The sequence below is a fragment of the Homo sapiens genome, chromosome X (assembly GCF_000001405.40).
Source record: "Homo sapiens chromosome X, GRCh38.p14 Primary Assembly".
NCBI lineage: Eukaryota > Metazoa > Chordata > Mammalia > Primates > Hominidae > Homo > Homo sapiens.
Window position 1 is genome coordinate 143,587,375 of NC_000023.11, and position 8,876 is coordinate 143,596,250.

The 8,876-nt window shown below is 41.5% G+C and overlaps 1 pseudogene; it reads right to left on the bottom strand.

The window, feature by feature from the left end:
• Positions 7,509–8,639, bottom strand: MYCLP3 (MYCL pseudogene 3; annotated as a pseudogene).

The following is an 8,876-nucleotide window of genomic DNA, read 5'->3' on the forward strand; positions in this document are numbered from 1 at the left end:
GATAGCTTATCTTCACAGCTGTTGAGAAACAGGACAGAACTCAAAGTTATGACTCTGCCTACCTGAGACAAATACATATCTGATTGTTTCCTTTGCCGTATTGTCTACATTATCTTATGTGTTAGAAATGCTTGTTCCCCAGTGCCACAAAGAAATAGCACTTGAATATAAATTTAATTATCTCAGCAAGGCCATCTTTACTTTCTGCAGAAAGGGTGCTACACACAGATGGAACAATGGCGAGAGCACACTTGAACAAAGGAAAAGCAGACATATTTATCCTTTATGCATTTGGGTCGTCCTTACTGCTGTGTCCTGCATCCATTGGCTAGAGCTGGACCTCACAGTCTTAAACTAATAACCAATTTGCTAATAACCTAAAACTTTCCTAAATAGGTAAGTGCAAGGAAGAACAAAGAAGGAGAGGAAGTTGCTTATGAAAGGTTCAAGGAAGCAATAACATTTCCAAATAAGAAAGGGGCATAAGCTATGAGCTAAGACTTGCCTGGGCCTGTCCAGACATACCTGAGTAAGCCAAAGCCACTAACTGGGCTAAAGTGTAAGAACTAATAGTTGATAGGAGGCTTTAGAGTAAGAAGCTATTATTTCTAGTGTCTGTTATTTTATTTTTAAACCAAGATGAGCTTTGAAGAGGAACTTTTCTACTTTCTACATTATGTACAATTATGGATACTCTGAGCCAGACAATGGCATGTAAGATTATTTTCCTATACCACCCTCTCAAATTAAAATTGTGTATTTCTCAATATCTCAGCCTTTCCCCTTTAAATACTGAAACCCTCAAAAGCATCGTTGGAGAAAGGCATAGAACTGTCTCCCAGGTGCATGTCCTTAACCTTGGCAAATAAACCTCCTAAAATGATTGAGACTTGCCTTGGTCATTTTCTTTGATGGCAGGTACTATTTTTTTCCATTTTAAATGTGAAAAAAACAAAGTAAAAGTAAGCTGCAATAACTTGCCTAACATCACATAAGTAAGCAGAGGTGAAGCCAGATTTCACACCCAGTAGGTGTGGCACCAGAATCTTTGGGCTTAACCACTATGTGCTACTGCCCTCCTAAGTCTGAATAACTTACCGTGTCTGGAGTTTCTTCCTTCTGGTGGGTTCTTGGTCTCGCTGACTTTAAGAATGAAGCCACGGACCTCATAGTGAGTGTTACAGCTCTTAAAAGTGGCACATCCAGAGTTATTCGTTCCTCCCAGTGGGTTCGTTGTCTTGCTGACTTCAGGAATGAAGCCGCAGACCCCGGTGGTGAGTGTTACAGCTCTTAAAGGTGGCGCAGACCCAAAGAGTGAGCAGCAGCAAGATTTATGATGAAGAGCGAAAGAACAAAGCTCCCATAACGTGAAAGGGGACCCAATCGGGTTGCTGCTGCTGGCGTGGGTGGCCAGCTTTTATTCCCTTATTTGGCCCCGCCCATGTCCTGCTGACTGGTCCATTTTACAGAGTGCTGATTGGTCCATTTTTACAGAATGTTGATTGGTGCATTTACAATCCTCTAGCTAGGCACAGAGCGCTGATTGGTGCATTTACAATCCTCTAGCTAGACAGAAAAGTTCTCCAAGTCCCCACTCAACCCAGGAGCCCAGCTGGCTTTACCTCTCGTTACGTCACTCAGCATTTTGATTTCCATTTTATAGAAGAGGATATTGAGGCTCACAGGAAAAAATCAATAAGCTCTTAAAGATAATTCAAGTGTGAAGCAGAATTTTCATGCCAAGCCTATTTATTACTCTTTTTACACTTATGAAAGACAATTTATTTATGGCTTGCTTTTTCCTTAATTTGGTATTTGCCAAAATATGTTTCTTGGTCTGTTTCGATGAGCATTATTTTTTAAAGGGTTTATTAGCAAATACATTTGGCTAAAGCTGGGTTGAACAAAGCTAAAGAGGTGTCTTTTCTATGGGTCTTTTTATTACATTTGATATGCTAATATGCCTTTTGAAGTTTTGAGTGGGAGGTATGTTTTAGCAACTTGGCCATGGGACTTGTTTTTCTCAGACTGCCTTACCAGCAAGAGCACCAAACATACTTTGGCTAACTGTATATCTACATTCCTAAGCTCACACATACTCTGGTGACATTAATTAGATTGAAAGGCACTCTGATTTGTGTATTCAATAAAGAAATACTCTGATCTTCATGGTAGAGATGTAGGGTGTAGGCTTTCCTCAGTAATACCAGATTTTCATGCCATTCATCATGGTAGTTTATTTTGAAGATGTCTCATATTGCCCAAGAAGAATTCGTTCAGTTTTAGAGAGATATTTTCAGATTTTGTTCCAAAGACGTAGGGGTAAGTCTTTGTAGACATTCCCTGTCCTATGCACTGAAAGTCATCTTCAAGGATGCCGCCAATAATGTATGTTATAATTTTGTGGCTTCTGTTTTTTGTAAAGTGTGTTGAAATACAGTCTTTTCAAGTGTCTCTGCAATTGGATGAGTTACATAAGTAAGAGCCAATATAAGAAGTAAGAGTATTTAAAGTATAAGAGGATAAGAATGTGATAAATATGTTTCTTCATTGCCATCATATTTTGGCTCTAATGAGGTCACCCCTAAGAGCATATCTGCTTCAAAGATGACATGAAAATGATTATAGTGATGGGAAGGTCTCAAACCGGAAATCATCCCCATGTCCCCATTGTGACATGAAATGGATAAACATATTTTGGGATAGCATTAAACTTTGAGAACCAGCAGGGAGAGGCAAACCCTCAAAATTATAAATAAATCTAAGAATGTATTATGCTCCAGGAAAGAATGAGCTGAAATGCAAATGCTTTCCCCCCCGCCCCCCGCCTCAGGGAAGTCATTAGGAATAAAAGGTCATTGTGACTTGGTGCCAAATTTCATGGCTGTTAGGAAAAAAAAAAAAAAAAAAAGCAGAACTTCTCTTTTCCTAAAAAGACCAATTGAGATGGGGCTGGGAAAGGTCCACATAAAGTGAATATGCCTTAGGCCTAAAAAACAGAAAAAGGGTGACTACACACACACACACACACACACACACACACACACACACACACACACAGATTTTGTATTTGGGTTCTACAACCTGTCACAGAATCAGGAAATCATAGAATATTAGAGTTGGAAGAGACCATTCTGAAACTGCCATTGAAAATTACAACAGAGAAAATTATTACAGTGAAAGAGATATGACCTAACTGACTCTATCTTGCTTCTAACCTCCAAGCTGTCATTGTTCATTCCTGGGTGTAGGCCAAACTAACTTTGGAAGGAACTTAGTTTATAGTTTAACTTTGAAACAAAGACAATAATATCCCTTTTCCAAAACAAGCCCCCTACTTGCCTAGGGACTAGGATGCCTTTGTAAGACTAACAAATTAGCCACAAGATTAGAAACCATGGTTTAGGTGTCACGCAGCTGGAAGCTACAATATTCTGACCCTCACCAAATTGTTCCTGGGGATAACCTCACTATTGGTAAACCCTAAGATTGTTACAGTAGGTAGCTAGTCAGACATGAGCAGTGCAGGAGAGCCCCACCAAAACAGGAGTGTCAGGGGACCATCAAGTGATGGTCAGGCAGTTGATAGTCCCAGCCAGTGCCAGGGAAAGGTGGTCCCCCAATACATAGAAAAAACCTGAAGCTGGTGATCAGCAGCTTCCTAATAAGATCTCAGGAGCTGGGCGAGTTGGCTCAAGCATGCTCATTAAGAGGCAAAATGCCAGTTTAACTGGTGTATGACTTTCTAGGGACATTTGACTGGTAAGGGAAGAATGCCTCAAGTAAGCATGTATACAACTCCATTAAACACACTGTACATGGGGCCACTCCCAAGTGCTAGCAGGCCACTGTGCATGCAGGCAGCCCATCCCAAGGGAAGAATCAGGGGAGAGAAAATTCAGATGCCAGAAGAATCCCAACTAATAAAACCCCAAGTCAAAAGTCAAGGCGTGCACTTGATCTCTTAAGTCACCTATTTGGCCCTCTTCCAAGTGTACTCTACTTCCTTTCATTTCTGCTTTACAGCTTTTTAATAAATTTTCACCCCTGCTTTAAAACTTGCACTAAGGTATGTTACTGATGGTGAATTTGTACATGTCTGCAGCAACCTCAATTCTTGCCTTCTCAGAAGAAAGAATTCAACTGAGAGGCATAAGGTAGAAGGAGAGACCGAGGTAAATTTTAGAGCAGGAGTGAAAGCGTATTAAAAAGCTTTAGATCAGGAATGAAAGGAAGTAAAGTATACTTGCAAGAGGGCCAGGCAGGTGACCTGAGAGATCAAGTGCCATGTTTGACCTTTGACTTAGGGTTTTATATGTTGGTGTACTTCCAGGGTCCTGCATCCCTTCTCCCCTGATTCTTCTCTTGGAGTGGGCTGTCTGCATGCTCAGTGGCCTGCCAGCACTTGGAAATGGCTGCATGCACAGTGTGTTTACTGGAGTTGTACACGTGCCCACTAGAGGTTTTCTTCTCTTACCAGTCCAATGTCCCTAGAAGGTCATATACCAGTTAAACTCTGCCATTTTGCCTCTTAATGCGCAAGCTTAAGCCCACTGGCCCAACTCCTGAGATCCTACTGGGAAGCTGCTGATTATAAGTTTCAGATGTTTTCTATCTATTGGAGGACTGCCTTTCTCTGTCACTGGCTGTGACCAAATATTATTTTAGAGAGATGGTTTAACAACTGCTTGACCATACCCTAATGGTTGCCTGACTTTCTTGATGGGGGTGGGGCGTCACTCTCCTGCTGTGCTCATGTCTGACTAGCTATGTACTGCAACGAGATCAGTGCTTTAGATATGTTGCAGACCCTGCACCTGATGGGTCAGCTGGCACCACCCAGATGGACAAACTGGCTTGTCTAGTCTTGTGGCTTCCACCCATGAAGGGACTCAGTGTATGAGGACAGCTTCAACTCCCTATGATTTCAACTGCCACCCAACCAATCAACACTCCAAACTCACTGGCCTCCACACCCACCAAAATATTCTTAAAAACTCTGATCCCTGAATTCTTAGGGAGACTGATTTGAGCAACAATAAAACTCCAGTCTCCCGTGTAGCCAGCTCTATGTGAATTAAACTTCCTCTATTGTAATTCCCTTGTCTTGATAAATCAGCTCTGTCTAGGCAGTCGGCTAGGTAAACTCACTGGGTGGTTACAATTCAGCCATTAGATTTATCAGTCCCAACAAGTTTTTATCAAATATTTGCATGAATGAACTGTAATACTCTCTTTCATTGCTATAGAGCTTAACACTGGTTATCTGTGAGGTCTTGTATTACAATGGGAAGAGCACAGATTTGGGAAGCAGAATAAGCTAGGTTTAACTCTGACTCTTCTACTTCTGCCATTATCAGCCAGGAGGGCTGAATTATCCTACAGTAACAAATAACTCCAAATTCCCAGTGACAAACAGAAATGTATACAACCTATGACTTAGACCAAGAACATAGACTAAGAATGCATATAGTTAGCAGGCTTCTCTTGGATTTTCATGACAAGAGAAAAAAGTTTGTTTCTCACTTTTGCTATATGTCCAATCCATATTGGCCGGGAACCTCTGCTTTATCTTGGCATATGGTTTTATTATCACCACTGCAGAGGGAAGGGAATACGGTGAATCATGTAATGGCTTTACAGAATTCCACAAGCCTACCCTTAGCTTCAAACAAGGTTGGGAAGTACAATCCTACCATGTTTCTGGAAGAAGAGGAAATGGAATATTTGTGAGTAGCTTTAATGACTACCATATTATCCATATATTCATAGGAACATGGAATAATTTACCATTTCTGGGCCTATTTCCTAATTTCTAAAATGGGTCAGCTATACCTCTTTTGCATATTTTGCATGACTGTTAAATAAAATAACATGCTTAAAATATCCAGAACTATCCCTGGCCTAACAGGTGCTCAAGCATAACACTTTCCCCTCTGTCTGTTAGAGGTGTCTTCTTTTTTATAGCATCCTAAACAGCCAGCCTAATAGGTCCTCAACAGGACAACCTTTTGAATATTTAAAGATAATATTCCTATCTGCACACAATTCTTCTCTTCTCCAAGCTAAACACCCCAGTTCCTTCAATGATTCCTCATATGCCATGTGTTTGAATACCCTTATCATTTTCGTCCCTCCCCTCTGACCTTTATTCGGGTTTGTCGCTGCTTCTTTTTAGAGTGATAATCATATCTGAGCACAGGCTCTCAATTCTAGCCTCATCAGCATAGGTTACAGTTGGGACTATAAACAAACAGCCTCACGTCATGTTTCTCTTCACATAATAAGTGTATTAGGTTCTCTAGAGGGACAGAATTAATGGAATATATATATATGACTTTATTAAGTATTAACTTACATGATCACAAGGTCCCACCATAGGCCATCTGCAGGCTAAGGAGCAAGGAGAGCCAGCCCAAGTTCCAAAACGGAAGAACTTGGAGTCCAATGTTCGAGGGCCGGAAGCATCCAGCACGGGAGAAAGATGTAGGCTGGAAGGCTAGTCCAGTCTCTCTTTTCACATTTTTCTGCCCATTTATATTCTAGCCACACTGGCAGCTGATTATATTGTGCCCACTCAGGTTAAGGATGGGTCTGCCTTTCCCAGCCCACTGACTCAAATGTTAATCTCCTTTGGCAACAACCTCACAGACACACATAGGATCAATACTTTGTATCCTTCTATCCAATCGAGTTGACATTCAGTATTAACCATCACACTAAGTACATTTAGGGAAGTCATATTATACTCAGAATGTAGAAAAATATATGGTTGGAAGGAAGAAATTGGAAGTCATTTAAGCCAGTGGTCCTAATTATATATCTGTGACCCAGCAACATAAGATTCACTTGTAGATTTTTTTTTCTTAAGGAGACATCCACAGGTCCCACTCCCAGCACCATTGGATCTACTGGGTCAAGTTTCCAAGGTCTTGGGTAGAGCTCCAGGAACTGGTGCATGGACAGGATTGAGAAGAACTCTGTAGCATCCTCATAGGCTTTCTTGACTTTATATCTTAGACTTGTTCCAAATATTGACATATGGACCAAATATGGTGCAGAACCCCTGGAATGACCATTAAAAATTGTTTCTAGAGCTTTCCCTCAAATTATAGAATCAGAAATCCTGGGAATTTGTCTCAGAAATCTGCACTTACAACAAACACTTTAGATGGGTCAAATGTGCAGCTAGGTCCAGTTCAATCTTCTATTGAATGCTTGGACCTATCAACAATCTTGCCAAGACATTTTATAGAAAATATCACACTGAGGTTAATTAGGCACTTACACAGTGGACCAATCACAGATTAATCCAAGAACACAGGAGATATATATACATATATATATATATATGTATATATCTGTATTCTCCTATATCTTCATGGCCTGTAACAGAATCATGGAATTGTAAGTGTTCAGTGTTAGAAGGGACTTGAGATTCCAATTAGTCAGCATTTCCCACAGTATGATCTATGGCACACAAGACTCTTTTTGTTTTTTTGTTTGTTTGTTTGAGAAATCTTTTATTAGAAGATGTCCCAGAAGGCAATATTTTAAAATCAGGCAATCAGTAATCACAGCTAAATACAAAATTTCAGGTGAACTTGCCTGTCAAAATAAATCAGACCCTTGCAACAGGAGAATTGCCCATGAGTTTTTTCTTGTACAAAAGCAGTTAACACCACTTCCTGAAAGGCATACAAAAATACAATATATAAAAAAGAAGATTCCTCCCAGCATACTACCCAACAGCAGCTTATAAAACTCAGGTGAGACATCAGTAACCTACACCCAAACTATCCTCCACAGACAGTTCCAGAAGTCAGCTGGCTTTTGTAAACCATGCTCCAGAAGGGTAGAAAGGCTATTTCCAAACATCCCCTGGGGCCCTTTGAGGCCAAGAAACAACCTCAGAAAGAAACCATTATGGACAATAGATTTGGAAGTAGCGGCTGTTTTTCCAGAGCCACATATAGTACTTACCACCCGCTACCCACCCCAGCTTCCAAACCCAGAGCCAGGAGGCTCCTGCTGTCCTGAGCAGAGTTCTGGAGGGGCTGCTGGTCATTCTTCCAGGTCAGGCTTAGAGGTGCTTGAGGTTACCCACATGACAACTGCTAGGTTGGGTGACTTTCCCAGACTGGAGGCTGCACCTGGATTCCACGTGAAGCTGCCGAGTCCAGTTGGGGCAAAATCCATCATGGTTGGTTAAGCATATCTCCTGGAGTCTCCTTTAAAACCCACGAGAAGCAAGTCCACCTTCTGGAGCACGGGATGAGTCCCAACGGCTCTCCCCAAAACTTCAGAAAGGCCCAGATTCTGGGAAAGAGATCTGATTCATGGCAGGCTGGCGGGGGCCCAAGGGTGGCTGCAGAGCCAGCAAGCTCCTTGGAGTTGCATGAGAAGGACAGGTTTGCATGGTTGCAGAACAACTTTAAACTCGCCAGTCAAGGATTGAGATGAGAGGCAGGTGGGAAAGAGGAGGCAGTGCCGTTCTCCCTCTGAGGTGTCTTACACCTGCCTCGAGCAAAGATTGGGCCTCAAGTGCCCCCCCCCCGGAAAACACCTGGGCAGGGATCAAGTTCGTGGGCCAGGACTCCAAGCTTTCCCAAGGACCCAGGCTAGGACCCATTTCCCTGCCACACAAGACTCTTAAAAATGGAATTACTAAGTTAAATTAGATTGGGAAACGTGGAATATTATATCATATATCTTGGTGTATTAACCTGCACATTTGCACAATGACTACTTTGAGAAGTCCTACATAGATAAACCAGTTTAATTTTACTAAAATTAACACTTTTAAAAATTATGATTTTAATATGCTTTTACCAGTTTCAGCCTTCTAAGTAGGTAGGCTTCTAGGTATTCTGCAG